We start from the raw sequence: 16,420 nt of genomic DNA, 5'->3' as shown, positions 1-16,420 counted from the left end.
AGAAAAAAATTCAAGGCGGTTGGGTGCAGTGGCTCACACCTGTAATCCCAGCACTTTGGGAGGCCAAGGTGGGCGATCATCTGAGGTCAGGAGTTCGAGACCAGCCTGGCCAACACGGCGAGACCCTGTTTCTACCAAAAATACAAAAATTAGCCGGGCATGGTGGCAGGTGCCTGCAATCCCAGCCACTTGGGAGGCTGAGGCAGGAGAATCACTTGAACCCGGGAGGCAGAGGTTGCAGCAAGCCAAGATCATGTCACTTAGTGGCAGTATTTACAATAGCAAAAACTGGAAACAACCCAAATACTTACTGACCTCACAATGGATACTGACGTAAATTCCTATAATGGAATACTATGCAGACGTGAACATGCTCTACATGATACTGAACAAAAGGCAAATCACTGATGACTTCATATGATACCATTAAGTTCAAGCACAGGAAAACTAGTATGTTGTATGTGTACATATATGTGGTATAGAAAAGCAAGGAAATAAACAAATTTAGAACTATAGGTACCTCAAGTGGTGAGGGGTTGGGATTAGATGAGGAAAGGTTTCAAATATATTCGTATGTGTATGCTTCTTCAGCAGGGTGATAGGTATAGAGGTGTTCTTTTTATCATCAGTCTTTATTTTATACATACATTTTACATATATTCTTTTTTAGAAGAAATATTTAAGTATTTTTAAAGTAAGTAGAACTTCCTTCTGAGGGAACTGGTCAGTGCTCATAGCTTCTCCCATCCATGACACCCCTGCCTCTCCTCCCACCCTAAGTTTGATAAGGAAAGAAAGGTCAGTCACTTAGATTCTTCTCTTAGAATTAGGGAACAAGGAGGTAAGAAGCTGTCCAGAAAGATAACACGAGGAGATTCATCTTATATAAAGGATTCTAAAATGAGTGTGTCATACAATAATCATATCAATCTACAGATACTCCTAAAATCATCTATAAAGTACAGTTTATATAATCAACCTATTAAACATGTTACAGACTATAAAACACTTCTCTTTGTATCCAACATAGTCAATTTTCCTTCTGGCATTGAATCATCCCTATTCCTTTAGTTCCACACCAAGTAAAGTAGCTGGCACAGTATTGTAGAATCAAGTAAAGTGGCTATGTTAGTGGGTCCTAAAGTCTATTGCTCACTGGGGATCTTTACAAAAAATAGTGAGGCCTGACACTGCAGATTTTCTGATTTTGGTATGGGATGTAATGTAGGCATCAAAAAATTTGTAAAGCTTCCCAGGTGTTTCCTATATGCAGCAAAATTTGGGAGCCTCTAGGCTAGATGATTACTCTATGAGTAGATGTGTTTCTATGATTTATATAATTTTTATTTTCCCCTTCTTTCTTTTTAAAGTATATTTACTGGGGCTGGGCACAGTGGCTTGCGCCCATAACCCCAGCACTTCAGGAGGCTGAGGTGGGAGGATCACTTGAGTCCAGGACCAACCTACGCAACATAGTGAGACCCTGCCTCTATAAAAAATAATTGGGCATGGTGGTGTGTACCTGTAGTCCCAGTTACTTGGGAGGCTGAGATGGGAGGATTACTTGAACCCAGGAGGTTGAGGCTGCAGTGAGTAATGATCATGCCACTGCACTCCAGCCTAAGTGACAGAGTGAGACCCTGTCTCAAAATAAATAAATAAGGGTATATTTAGTAGGAAACAATTCCATTGGATAGAACAGATTTGGAGACTCATCCCATAATTTTGGTCATGTGCAAACTGACATGCAGGCAAGGAAGCTGATCTACAAACAGAGGAGTATAACATATTGTGAAAGTGAGAGAAAAAATGATGGAGAGAATGGCACCAGTTTCCAATGGCTTTTCAGTTTCCATGAGACCCAGCTATACACTGACCTTCCTCTGAAATCTCCACATCTTTACAATAACCCTCTCTTTTCTCTCCTTCGCTTAACGAGTTTTGTTTTGTTTTGGAACAAAAGAGTCCTACTAGAATTAGACTGCTTACACTTGGCTATTTTAATCAAGTAAATATTTTATGTTAAAAAAGAAACACATAATGGTTTTTACTACTTCATTTGTACAACATAACATATAACTGCCACCTGGTGGCAGCATACCTATCTTAAGATGAGATTTTTGTGTGTGGTGGGGGGCGGGGGGTAAAGAAATAACATTAGAAGTTATCAATGACAGACATTCTTTAACAGTTTTCCACTACTGTTAGGATAACATCCACACCATTTTAAATGTCATATGTGGCTCCTCATTATCTGATCCCTAGTTCTCCAATCCCATTTTCTGCTATATAGCTTAATCCTCTATGCTCCAGAATGACGATAATGATGATAATGACTGACACTTCTTGAACACTTCTTATAGACTGACAGTGTTCTAAATGTTTTAGACTTATTAGTGAATCCTCACAACAACCGCAAGTACCAAGGCAGGTACTATTATTGTTCTCATTTTCCAGAGGAGGAACAGAGCAACAGAGAGGTTAAGTAAATTCCTGATGCCAAAAAACTAGTAAATGGCAGTCAGGATTTGAGCCTAGACGGTCTGGTCCAGTCCAACCTCATAACCACTACAATTATCAATTCAAAATCTTTGAAAAATTCCATTTAGATGTATAATAAAGAACTTCTAATTAAAAAATGTACAAAACTGATTTCACAATCTTGCCTAGGTCAACAACTGAAACCTTGACCACATTTTTCTTAGTAGTAACAGAAACCTCCTCTCCATGCTCACTATCCTTTACCTTTCAGATCCAGCCAGTCACCAAGTTCTGCTGATTTTACCTTCTAAATATTTACTGATGTATCCCCTCTGTTCCTGCCTCACTGTCTGTCATTTGTACTTTCAACAGCCTCGTAAATGGTTTTATCCTCCTCAACCTATCCTCCACACAGCTGTCAAATACATCTATCTAAAATGCAAATCTAGCTAACCATATTATTCCCCAGCTTAAACACTCATCAATAAGCCAGGTGGGGTGGCTCATGCCTGTAGTCCTCAGTCAGGAGGCTGAGGCAGGAGGACTGCTTGAGCCTGGGAGTTCAAGGCTGCAATGACCTATGATCACGCCACTGCACTGCAGCCTGGGTGAAAGAGTGAGACTCTGCCTCTAAAAAATATATAAAACACAAAAATACCCCTCATTAATAGATCCCCACAATCTACAGGATATAATCCAATCTCCTTAACATAGATTCAAGGATTTTCAAGATGGAGCCCTAGCCTATAGTCTCATTTCTTGCCACATCTTGCTAATAGCTTTATACTCCAATAATACCAAACAAGGTAGGTAATACAATACCTTCCCCAAAACAAGTCAAACGATTCCACATCTCTGTGCTTTTTCCATTTTGTCTCATTCTTCTGGAAGCTTCTACTCACCTTCCACTCCCTTCTCACCTGGGCAGTTCCTCCCCATCCTTTAAGGCTTCATTCAGTGTTTATCCATCCAGAAAGCCTTCCCTAACTGCCAAGATAGAATCAGATATCCCTCTTCTGTGTTTTTCATGGACCCAGAATTATATTACCCATTGTGTATTTATAATTATCTCTTTATGTGTCTGCCTACTAACTAAATAATGCTTATGCTTGGCAGAGTCCATGTCTCTCATATCCTATCATCTTAGCAAAGTGCCTAGCAAGTAGTAAGTGTTCAATCATATTTACTGAATGAGTAAATAAATAGCTCCCTGTAGATCACTCTGAATACTTAACTTATTGTATCGTGATTGACTTTCTACTCGAATGTGAAAGTATCAGAGGCAAGCTTGTGACTATCTCTGAATTCCCACTGACTTGCATAAAGTAGAGGCTCGAGTAAATACTAAGTTATCTAGGATTTGATCTGAAAGACTGAAAAGAATGGAGTAGAGGATTAACAAAATGAAAAGGGTGTTTTAAGATGAACCCAGTGACAATATATAGGATGAACCAGAGAAGATGAATAGAGGCAAGGGAACTAGACAGATGAGGGGATGTGGGCCTGATTTTATTGGACTGCAATATTAGAATAGAAAGAAAAAGGTTAAGTGGGAGACAAATTTTTTTATTTTTATTTTTTATTTTTATTTTTTGAGACGGAGTCTCACTCTGTTGCCCAGGCTGGAGTGCAGTGGCATGATCTTGGCTCACTGCAAGCGTGTGAGACAAATTTTTAATTTAAAAAGTAGGATGTGGTTATGAGTATATAGAATAAAGGAAAATAATCACAGAATAATTCAAAGGATCTTTCAATCAAGATGCTTTCTGAATATATTAATAGGTATGAACTAAACTACTGAGCCTAGAAAATATGATGATACATGAGACAGAAAAGAGAAAATTGGCTGGGCGTGGTGGCTCACACCTATAATCCCAGCACACTGGGAGGCCAAGGTGGGAGAACCGCTTGAGCCCAGGAGTTCAAGACCAGCCTGGGCAACATGGCAAAACCCTGTCTCTACAAAAAATTTAAAAATTAGCCAGGCATGGTGGTGAGCCCCCGCAGCCCCAGCTACTCGGGAGCCTGAAGTGAGAGGATCAATTGAATTCAGGAGGTCGAGGTTGCAATGAGCCGTGATCATGCCACCACACTCCAGCTGGGGCAACAGAGTGAGATCCTGTCTCAAAAAATGAAAGAAAAGAAAAAAAAGAGAAATAAAAGAAAATAGAGAGAAAGAGAGTGAGATAGAGAAAGAAAGAAGAGAAAGCTTAGAACATTAAAAAAATTTAAGTACAAATCCTAGAGAAAAAGTAGACAGACTCTCCTGCCATACAATTAAAATTCTGAGGCTTATTAAAATTGCCTACCTTATTTCACCCTTTGAATTTATTAAAAAATTACGCATTCTTCTCAACTAAAAAAAAAACCTCAAATTATCTTTTCTTTTTCTCAAACTTTATTATAAAAATTACTAATGGTTGTTTAAAGTGGAAAAGTGAGAGTTCTCTTGTTGAGTCATTAGAAATGCTCAGATATGAATTTTCATTGTGAAATGAATTTATACAAATTAAAATTAAATATTATTTTGGCAAATATAAAAAATTTCACACCAAAAGAATTTCCAGTATTTTTAAGTTGTATATGAATAGAAAAGAGTTTCTGTAACTTTCAGCCAAAACTCATTATTTCATATATAAACTCCTAGTAGATATTTCCTAATGCAGTTTTAACATATTTTCTAATATCTTGCCATTTAGAAGAAGATCTACTAATTTATTTGGCTCTCAAGAAATGGAGTAGAGGATATAAACGGCGTAAGAATTAACTGAGATCTCTGCCCCATGCCCACTGCAATCCCCACAAGGTCTCCACACACAAAATTTGATTCATGATACATATGGAGAACTACTATTTTAGTTATAATTGATCCCTGTCACTATCTTCTCTGGGGAAACAACTAATAAGGCAATACTAACTTGAATAAAAGTGAGACCCTAGCCTGGACGTTGTGGCTCACGCCTGTAATCCCAGCACTTTGGGAGGCCGAGGCAGGCGGATCATGAGGTCAGGAGATTGAGACCATACTGGCTAACACAGTGAAACCCCGTCTCTACTAAAAATACAGAAAAATTAGCCGGGCTTGGCAGCGTGCACCTGTGGTCCCAGCTGCTGGGGAGGCTGAGGCAGGAGAATGGCGTGAACCCGGGAGGCAGAGCTTGCACTGAGCCGAGATAGTGCCACTGCACTCCAGCCTGGGTGACAGAGCAAGACTCTGTCTCAAAAAAAAAAAAAAAAAAAAGTGAGACCCTGGAGGAATAAATACAGCCTAACCACAGAGCCCACAATGAGCAATCCTAGTAAACAACAAGGAATTTTATAGTGTGTTCAGTACTAATAGGAGAGAGAGCCTAGATTTTATACCCTATTAGTTTTTCAGAGATCTGTAAATCAGAGAACCTATGAAATCAATCTTTACAGATTAGGACTTTGTATAGTAAAGTTGATTATAGTTCTGAATCATCAAAACAATAATCTTGGGGGCTTTAAGAAATTATTTCTTAAAAGGGGGAAAAACTCTTAGACTTTTACAGAGAAACTTTCACACCACACAAAAATCTCAGAGAACAGTAAACCACAATAAGAATCTTAACTCTGATGGTAACTGAAAACAAACACTACATTGTTAGTGAACAAGGAGGAAAAAGGAATTTTACATATTACAAAAGAATCTATAAATTTAAACAAAGAACCTAAGCAAAACTACTCCTGAAATAATGTTAAATTTTTGAATACTCTGAATATTGAACACTTTTGAATACTGTTAAACCCATGCAAAAATCAACCAAAGCTTTATGCAATGTACCTAGAAGGGCACTAAGTGTTGTAAGTTACAGTTTGGTGATGACTAAGACAAAAAATAAAAGGGGTGTCAATATGACAACAAAGACATCTCATACTAGTGAAGTAGCTACAGATCCCCCATGTTTAAAATGACAGGTCTTTTCATTTTTGAACACTAAGTTACTTTTTTCTCACAGTGTAAATGGACTGGCAATGATCAAGCCAAAAATCCAACAGGTGCCCCTTTAACCAACTGCATGCACTTGTAAAACAGCTGCTCATGGAATGGAATGACTCACTGGCCAACAAAGAAATCAAGCTTCAGCATCATGCTGTTATCAACTCACCAAGAACCTATCACTCAAAGGAAGCAACAATTTAAATTTTGGCAAAGCCCAAAAAGCCTAAAAATATATATATATGGAAGATAATCCCACTGGGGATACGTATTTCTACCCATTCCTCTCTGGTGCTTGAGTGCACACGTTCTCTCTCTCTCCACACATACGGAAAGGATATATATATATTTTATATACATATATAATTAATATTAGATAAAAGAAGTTGGTAACAACCCAATTAAAAAATGGGCAAGGGATATTAATAGACATTTCTCTAAAGAAGATCTACAAATGGGCTAGGCGCAGTGGCTCAGGCCTGTAATCCCAGCACTTTGGGAGGCCGAGGTGGGCAGATCACCTGAGGTCAGGAGTTCAAGACCAGCCTGGCCAACATGGTGAAATCCCATTTCTGCTAAAAATACAAAAAAATTAATCGGGCATGGTGGTGGATGCCTGTAATCACAGCTACTGGGGAGGCTGAGGCGGGCAGATCACCTGAGGTCAGGAGTTCAAGACCAGCCTGGCCAACATGGTGAAACCCCATCTCTGCTAAAAATACAAAAAAATTAATCGGGCATGGTGGTGGATGCCTGTAATCCCATCTACTAGGGAGGCTGAGGCAGGAGAATCACTTGAACCCAGGAGGTGGAGGTTGCAGTGAGCTGAGGTTGCGCCATTGCACTCAAGCCTGGGAGACAAGAGCAAAACTCCATCTCAAAAAAAAAAAAAAAAAAAAAAAGAAATCTACAAGTGGCCAAAAAGTGCATTAAAAGATGATACTCAATATCATTATTCATTAGGAAAATACAAACCAAAACCACAATTAGAAACCACTTAATACCCACAAGGATGAGTATTAAAAAAACAAAAAAACAAAACAAACAAACAAAAAAAACAGAAAACACAACTGTTAATGAGGTTATGGGAAAATTGGAATGTCCTATACATTGCTGATGGGAAGGTAAAATGGTACAGTCACTATGGAAACAGTTTGGCAGTTCCTCAAAAAGTTGAAATATAACTACCATATGACCTTGCTCAGTTCTACTACTAGGTATATACCCAAGAGAAATGAAAACAGGTACTCAAATACATCCATACAAATGTTCACAGCAGCACTATTCACAATAGCCAAAAGACAGAAACAACCCAAATGCCTATCATTGGACAAATTATGGTATATACATACAATGGAATATTATTCAGCCATAAAAAGGAATGAAGTACTGATATATGCAGCAAAATGGATGAACCTTGAAAACATACTAAGTGAAAGAAGCCAGACACAAAGGGTCACATATTATATGATTCCTTTCATATTAAATATCTACAACTGGTAAATCCAGAGAGTGCGTTGGTGATTGTTAGTGGCTAGAGGGAAGAAGCAATGAAGAATATCTGCTTAATGGGCACAGGGTTATATTTTGAGATGGAAAGATGTTTGGGAAGTAGACAGAAGCAGTAGTTGCATAAGATTGTGTTAAGCCACTGTGTTAAGTTCACTTAAAGATGGTTAATTTTGCTTATGAATTTCACCTCAATTAAAAAAAATTATAGCTTCTTTATATCTAGCACCTAGAGAACTCAAAAAGCTCCCAACCATTATTTCATTTATCCTTCAAAACACCTGTTGAGGTACACATCATAAGATTATTCCAACAGACAATAAGGCACAGAATTTGTGATCATTTAAATAAATGTTTGCGGCCGGGCGCGGTTGCTCACGCCTGTAATCCCAGCACTTTGGGAGGCCAAGGTGGACGGATCACAAGGTCAGGAGTTTGAGACCAGCCTGGCCAATATGGTGAAACCCTGTCTCTACTAAAAATAAAAACCTAGCCGGGTGTGGTGGTGGGCGCCTGTAGTCCCAGCTACTCGGGAGGCTGAGGCAGGAGAATAGCTAGAACCCAGGAGGTGGAGGTTGCAGTGAGCCGAGATCGTGCCACTGCACTCCAGCCTGGGTGACAGAGTGAGACTCCATCTCGGGGGGAAAAAAAAATGCTTGCTAAGTAAAAGTTCATAGCTGCAGTCGTAGGCATTCAAAAATGTTGGTTGAACAAATGAACACATAAATGTCTCCAAAGTCCTAGTGCCATTTCTACCAGACCAGATAGCAGTATTATAAATTCTCTTTCTCCCTCTCTCCAGCACACACACACACACACACACGCACACACACACACACACCCCAGACACCAAACCACTTTTATAAATAAGTTTTGAAAAATTCCGTAGCTTTTCCAAATTATAGTTTTTAAATGGATGTTAAGCAATTACATAAAGTGACTAATCTTAATTTTAGTGGAATCTTACTAAGAAATGAATATAAATAATGTCCCTTATTGTTTAGCAATTTACCATAACCTTTTCTAGCTATATTAGAAGAAATTCATTTACATTTCAATATTCAGTAGCCTATAATAGATATTTTGTAGACATAGTTTAGCTTTTACTATGAACCTTTTTATTTATAAAATAAGAGATGTTTTTGTTTGAAAAAATTTTTGTTCCATTCTTGTCATATTTCAATCACTTGGATGTATCCTACCTTTTTCACTTCCTCTTTCCATGAGCTATCATTCAACTTTCAGTTTCACTGACAGGGCATCACGTTCCTTCCTCCACATTCTCTCTCTAAACACCATGTTTTGCTTCATTCCGACAAAGCCTAAGCTGGGTGCAGTGGGTCACCCCTATAATCTCGGCACTTTGGGAGGTTAAGGCAGGAGGATTGCTTGAGCCCAGGAGTTCAAGACCAGCCTGGGCAACATGGTGAAATCCCATCTCTACAAAAAAATTTTAACAATTAGCCAGGTGTGGTGGTGCACATCTGTAGTCCCAGGTGCTCAGGAGGTTGAGGCAGGAGGATCACTTGAGCTCAGGAGGTCAAGGCAGGCTGCCACTCCAGCCTGGACAACACAGCGAGATCTCGTCTCAAAAAAAAAAAAAGCCTGAAGGTTATGAATTAGTTTTAAGTCACAGGCACTGCACTATTGCTGCAATAAATGTTGATGAAGCTATCAAACTGCTGCATCTACTCGGAATGCTAAGTAAGCTCTGCCACATCTAAGTATGAAAAACTAGAATGCTTAAAACAGGAAGGGAAAACACTTTCTTAGCTGTGGAACAAAGTATCTGAAATATGCAAAGAACAGTTTTACACCATAACCAGCTTTGTCTATCACAGTGGAAACAGTAACTGAAAAGTCCTGCTATCAATAATCAATATACAGCTTGCATGGAGCACCATCCTTTTTTTTGTACACAATTGGAACTACTCTTCACACTGAAAATGTTTGTTAAACAAAAGTCATGTAATTACAAATTACTGAATATAATAGACAGTAGTTTTTTATAATTATTCAGCAAATAATGCCCATTATATAAAATACTGAATAACTTTAAAAAGTATACCTAATGCAAATTTACATGAGTAATAATTTTATATTAAATATACAACTGTCCTCTATTTAATTCTGTTCACTTAAATTACAATACTTCCTTTACGTGCCATGAATAATTATACTTGGAAAAAAATGAAGTCATTTAAAATGGAGTTAAAATAGTTTGGTTCAACACAAGGACAACCTATGTAGTGCCATCCTCGTCAAAACACTGCAGAGGGAGCTAGCCCAGCTCTGAAAATATTTACTTAATACATAATGCAGTAATGTCTCACATCTCCCAGGGTCATGCTTCTTGCAACATCAATACTGAGGAAATAGCTGAGGACCCAACAGTAAACCAAAACAACCAACAAGCAGCAGAAAAACTAAACTGCCCTAAAGCCCACTGGGCAGGCTACACTGGCCTCTGTTTTTGTTTTGTTTTGTTTTTTGAGACAGAGTCTTGCTCTGTCACCCAGGCTGGAGTACAGTGGCACAACCTCGGTTCACTGCAACCTCCACCTCCTGGGTTCAAGTGATTCTCCTGCCTCCACCTCCCCAGTAGCTGGGATTAGTACCTGCCACCACGCCTGGCTAATTTTTTTGTATTTTTTAGTAGAGACGGGGTTTTGCCATGTTGGCCAGGCTGGTCTCAAACTCCTGACCTCAGATGATCCACCCACCTCAACCTCCTAAAGTGCTTGGATTACAGGTGTGAGCCACTGCGCCCCACCTGTTTTGTTTTTTATACTTTTTTCTTTTTAGAGATGGGGTCTCACTACATTGCCCAGGCTGATCTAGAACCTCTGGGCTCAAGCGATCCTCCCACCTCAGCCTCCCAGTGTTGGGATTACAGGAGTGAGCCATCACACCCCGCCTAAGGTCTTTGTTGTTGTTGTTTTTTCTTTTTACATAGTATTCTGTCAACCTCAGTTCTGGGTTCCTTAGTCGTAGCAAATCTAAAACAGCAAATTAGGAAAAGAGGCAGATGAGGAGTAAGAGCATGCCCATAGCAATACGAACTAACAGCAAGGAAAGAATAAGCACAACAAAAACAGAAAGGAAATCTATAAAATGTCTAACAATATAATCCCAACTATATTATACACTCTGCACTGAAATAGCAATTACAATTCCAGGCCTACGCTAAAATAGGAAACCTAGTTATTCTGTGCCTCATTTTCCTGTTCTGGATAATGGTCATACACTATAACATGTGTTTAATATAATGTATTTGATAAGCCTTTATGTTTTTTAAAAAATGGCATTTGAGGCTGAGTGCAGTGGCTCATGCCTGTAATCCCAGCACTTTGGGAGGTCGAGGCAGGCAGATCACTTAACGGCAGGAGTTCGAGACCAGCCTGGCCAACATGGTGAAACCCCATCTCTACTAAAAATACAAAAATTAGCCAGGCGTGGTGGTAAATGCCTGTAATCCCAGCTACTTGGGAGGCTGAGGCAGGAGAATCGCTTGAACCTGGGAGGTGGAGGCTGCAGTGAGCCAAGATCCTGCCACTGCACTCCAGCCTGGGAGACAGGCTGTCTCAAAAAAAAAAAAAATGGCATTTGAATATTCTTTTCTGGTCATAAAAGAGATACATTGTATCAAGAATTTGGAAAATACTAAAAGTATAAAGAAAATTAAAATTGCCTATAAGCCACCACCCAGAGATAGCCACGATTTACATCTTGGTGCTTTTTTTCAGGTGTCTTCATATTTAAATATGTACATATACCTTTTCCTGGTAACTTTTTTCTTTTTAACCTGGCATTATTTGTGGGCATTTTCCACACTCAAAAAGTCTTTGTAGAATTATTTTACATATCATAATTTATTAACCCATTATTACAGATTTGGGGTAGTATAAAACATTTTATACAGTATACTATATATTATACTGCATACATGACAAACTGTTTAAAAAGTGATCATTTATAAGGTTTAGATACAGAAAGGGAATTTTCCAATGGAACTGTTTATCAATAAATTACCCCCAAAAAGATTTGTAAGTTGTGGTTTGCAAAACTAGATTATCAAATACAATACTTAAGTCCAGTGAACAAATGAGACATTTGCAGAATGAAGTCTCAGATAAACTTTGGAAAATGATCATTTAAAGTTGTTTCTGATGCCAGCAATATGGATTTCACATTAAGAGAATTCTAGATTAATGTTATTAAATTACAACCGTGCTAGGAAAGTAACACTTATTAATGACTCATTAATCATTCTGTTCATTCATTAAGCAAATATGTATGAATAACTATTTGAAAGGCATTATATTATGGTGCATTAATATCAATAGTAAAGCTTTCTTAGTAATTCTATAAAATGACATAGTAGTATTTAAAACACTTTAACAAAACGTGGAAGAATATCCCCCAAATCCTACTGCAGCTCATCCCTCTTTGTACTTATCACCCAGAGTCTGTCTCTCCCACTAAACAGTGAGCAACTTGAGAGCAGACACTGTCACCACCTCTAGGTATAAAATAGGGATTCAATATACGTTTGCTGAATAAAATTATAATCCAGAGTTTTTCAGTTCTAATCTGAAAGCACACGTTTATACAAATGAAATAATGTACATACTATTTTTGATAATGCCCTTTTCACACTATTTTTCATATTCCTATCAGTCTTCATAATCTTAATGGCTTTAAAATATTCCATCATATTTATATAACTTAGAAAATGATTCCCTTCGTGTTGTCTTTAAAAGTTATTTCCAGGGGTTTTTTTTTGTTTGTTTGTTTTCTGAAACAGGATCTCATTCTGTTGCCCAGGCTGGAGTGCAGTAGCATGATGATAGCTCACTGCAGCCTCGAACTCCTGGGCTCAAGTGATCCTCCCACCTCAGACTCCTGAGTAGCTAGGACTACATACAGGCGCACACCACCATGCCCTGCTATTTTTTTTTTTTATTTAATTTTTTGTAGAGTCTCACTATGTTGCCCAGGTTGGTCTTGAACTCCTGGTGTCAAGCAATCCTCTCGCCCCAGGCTCCCAATGTCAGCATTTTTATATTGTATAGCTAATGTTGCAGCAAACACACCTTGCCTTACAAGTCTCATAGATTTATATCTTACTGGAAAAAGGGCTAAATTCTAAAAGAAGATAATCTTTTACAACAAAAATTCACCTTAAACAGGTTTTTACCCCATACATAGAATTCTGAAAGATAAAGAAACACACAAAGAAACTAGAATTGTATTTTGCCACATCAACTACAACTGCAAGCAATTTAAATAAATCCTCTATTATGAAATGTGTATGTCCAAAGTAAACCATGTTTTGTAGGACTGCTTCACATATATTCAGGAAAGACATTTCTGGGGGCAGGCAATAAAAATTGTGAGGTAACAGACAAGTAAGACATCTAATCAGATCTTCAATGCTTTTGGAGGGGCACACACTTCACCTCCACTACTTCCGTAGATGCATAGAGCTTGCTCAGCCCCTCAGATTGCACAAGTGTAGGCTTTGGACTTCTAAAGATACCCTGATTCCCCTTTCCCACCATTTATAGATTCGAAAGTAAAAATTTACCTGGCTATATACAAGCATTTAAACCTTGATCTTAAATAGAGGGAGCTTATAGGAAAGTCAACTATATTTTAGAAATATGAAGCTAGTTTTTATATATATATTCATTTAACAAACTTGTGTTGAGCTTCTATCACTGCATCTCTGCGGTATGGCCCTTCATTGATAATAAATCACTAACCTGGTTTCCTTTGTTTATGTGAGGAGAAGAGAAAGGAAGAGAGGAAAAACAGTTACCTGTAATACAATTTTTGTCCAAGTATGACTGCTAACAATTATCTCTAAAAATAATATAATCCATAAAAGAAGACTTCATTGAAGGGAGGAAGGGGGCTTTTGAGCCCAGACAAAATATATGCTCAAATATGTAATTTTTAAAAGAAATATGCTACGCAGCTTATATTCTGTATATGTTAAATTTCTCATGAAGCCCAATGAACGATGCCTGTGTATAATTGTGTATTGTATTGTTTGCTTTACAGGCTTTTCCATAACCGTTCACACACACACACACACACACACACACACAACCAGGATTCGCCAGAGAGATATATAACAACTAAATTATTTAAAGCAGGAATTCTATAGGTGTTGGCATATGGAACCTTTCGGTCCTCAGAAGTTCCATTCACAGACTGCATTAACATTCCATAGGACACAAAAGCGCATGCCATGACAAAGACCTTCAAGTACAAACATACAAAGACACGCTTCTAAAAACGCCCCTAAAGCCAAGTTCACAGCTGGCACTTGTGGCACACACAAGCCACTGCTGAGACAGCTGTCACAGGCCAATCACACACACCCAAGAGTGCCAGCGTGCTACCTAAGGAAGACAAGCTGATGATCAGCGCACAAATCCCCAACCCAATAAAGAAAAGCCCTAAATCCCCACCCTGGAAAGCACAATGCCTGCACCACCCAGAAAACTCCTTAAAAAAATGAAAGATCGGAGGTTTAGAAGCAACTAAACACTAGTTTACAGCAATACAGTAAAAGGGGAGTTTTATTTGGACATTCACGAGAAAGGAGCCACAATATTCAATCCTCGCGGAAGTATTATCAGCTAGCACAAGGCTTTGTCCCCCAACTGGAAAAAGGGGAAAGGAGGAGGGCGAGGAGAGATGCAGACCCTAAGACCCTGCAGCACCTCCCTCTCGGGCAGTGCACTGGGGCTGCGGCGAACTCCGCTTCCCAGGCCCCCTCCCACCCCGTGCTAGCCACCGCCTCCCACCGCAGGCCCGGTTGCCTCGGGCTCTCCTACCTTGGCTTTGCCGGCCTCCAGCTTCTTCTGTCTCTCCTCGTCCTCCATGGCCTCTGCAAGGAAGGCAGGGGAAAACAGGGGTTGAGGGGTGGTTGGGGATAGAAAGGAAAGGTCGATTTGGACGGAGGTGGGACGGCAAGCTCCACGGCCTAGAGAGCCGATTCGGTCCGGCGCTCCCCCGCCCGAAGTGGAAGCAGTCTCCGCGCTCACTGGCGGATCGTCCTCAGCCGCACGGGAAGCGCCGTCACCGCCGCCGCCGCCGCCATCTTCGTCTCCACGTAAACACACGGCGAGGCGGGAGGGGCTGGAACGTCTGTCCGCGCAGCCGCCTCGTGGGCAGGTGCTCCTGGGGTGCCGCCCCGGCCCAGCCCTCCGGGGTCAACCCTTGCCAGGCCTGGGACCTGCCTCCTACCAGCGAGGATCCCGCCGTAGAGAGCGCCCTTCCCGCACATCAACGGCTCACAGGTGGCGGCCGAGCTGAGGGGTAGGAGAGACGGAGTGTGCCAGAGGCTCCTGGCCTGACCCCCACCCTCCGTCCGAGGAATCCACTGCTATTAAAACATGAGTTTTTTTTTTCCTTCAGGTTACAAAACTAACACACCTAATGGTGAAATTGGCGAACACCTACAAGCTCCAACGGAAAAGTTCCGGTGGGGGGTGGTGGGGGGGCGGACGCCAGGTTTTCTACCTACATTAACTGCTTGACTCAAGAATTATGAGAGCAGCTAATTGCTCTTATTACTTCCTTAGCCTGAAAAGTCCCTCCCTCTTCCCTCCACTGGTTCCCACTCAATCTCCGGTTCATCCTTATAGTCCCATCGCACACGCTGCCTCCAAATGGCTTTTCTGACCTCTTGTTCCCTCCACGGCAACCGAGACACATCCAGTCAAAACTTAGTCCCCTCCCCCGACTCTTTGGGGCTTCCCTTTAACAGTAGTGTTCTGAAAGGAGCCTGAGCTTTAGAACCTCGGTTAGGGACAATGCCAGACTACACTAACTTTCTAGCGTTAATGACAAGTTACCTATCCTCCCTGAGCCTACCTGGAATTTTTGGAAGGGTTGTTAATATATGTGACTGCCCTGACATATTAAAACGTCCTGAATAATGTCAGCTTTATTTCTCCTTGGACTTCCTTTAAGTACCCTGCACCATATTTTAATAATTTGTGTGCGTCTTAGTTCAGCTCATACTCCCAGCTCCTTGATGACAGAGACTCATCATAAGTCTTGCTCATCTTGGCTTTACTAAAATGACCAGCACAGAGCTCTGCACTCAATAAACGCTTTTTGGATTGAATTGAGCAGTGTTTATAAATTTAACATTACTATCTTTCCTTGTTTCCCCGACATGTGCTCCCTCAGTCCTTTGTGTTCGTCTCCCTGCCCTCCAATGCTCACATCCATTCCTGGAGTGAACTACACATTTTAATGTCTCTGGTTGATTACTCAGATTTATCATGTTTCTCCGTTGCTTTGAGCTAGGTTGGACTGAAAAACTAGCAGTTGTGAACAAAAAATAGGCTAAAATGAGTTCAAGCGTAGAAGTGGTGTTAAGTGAAAAATTGAGGTTAAAAAACAAAAAAGGAGATAATAAAGACCTTAAGTCTACCACAAACT

General features: G+C 40.0%; 1 protein-coding gene and 1 long non-coding RNA gene across 3 annotated transcripts in view, besides 3 other annotated features; one reads left to right on the top strand and one right to left on the bottom strand.

Moving 5' to 3' along the window:
• Positions 1-15,088, bottom strand: part of AKAP9 (A-kinase anchoring protein 9) — a 169,812-nt gene extending 154,724 nt beyond the window's left edge. For both annotated transcript variants that reach the window (NM_005751.5, NM_147185.3), the window contains exon 1: positions 14,803-15,088. In NM_005751.5, coding sequence (NP_005742.4) covers positions 14,803-14,850 — 48 coding nt within the window. In that variant the 5' untranslated portion in view covers positions 14,851-15,088. The remainder of the gene's footprint in view (positions 1-14,802) is intronic.
• Positions 14,798-14,947: an enhancer, noted in NCBI's record as "active region_26256". NCBI's record gives its function as "activates an Ori minimal core promoter by ATAC-STARR-seq in GM12878 lymphoblastoid cells {active_cell/tissue: GM12878}" and the evidence as "EXISTENCE:reporter gene assay evidence [ECO:0000049][PMID:35858748]".
• Positions 14,986-15,547: an enhancer, noted in NCBI's record as "NANOG-H3K27ac-H3K4me1 hESC enhancer chr7:91569717-91570278 (GRCh37/hg19 assembly coordinates)". NCBI's record gives its function as "activates a minimal SCP1, AML or CMV promoter by ChIP-STARR-seq in primed H9 embryonic stem cells {active_cell/tissue: H9 hESC(primed)}" and the evidence as "EXISTENCE:reporter gene assay evidence [ECO:0000049][PMID:30033119]".
• On the top strand, positions 15,099-16,100 carry LOC124901698 (uncharacterized). The gene is made up of 2 exons (XR_007060431.1): positions 15,099-15,286; positions 15,386-16,100. It is a non-coding gene; the product is annotated as an uncharacterized LOC124901698 (long non-coding RNA).
• Positions 15,148-15,257: a silencer, noted in NCBI's record as "silent region_18365". NCBI's record gives its function as "represses an Ori minimal core promoter by ATAC-STARR-seq in GM12878 lymphoblastoid cells {active_cell/tissue: GM12878}" and the evidence as "EXISTENCE:reporter gene assay evidence [ECO:0000049][PMID:35858748]".

The sequence above is a fragment of the Homo sapiens genome, chromosome 7 (assembly GCF_000001405.40).
Source record: "Homo sapiens chromosome 7, GRCh38.p14 Primary Assembly".
NCBI lineage: Eukaryota > Metazoa > Chordata > Mammalia > Primates > Hominidae > Homo > Homo sapiens.
This window is presented reverse-complemented; position numbering and strand designations above follow the sequence as displayed.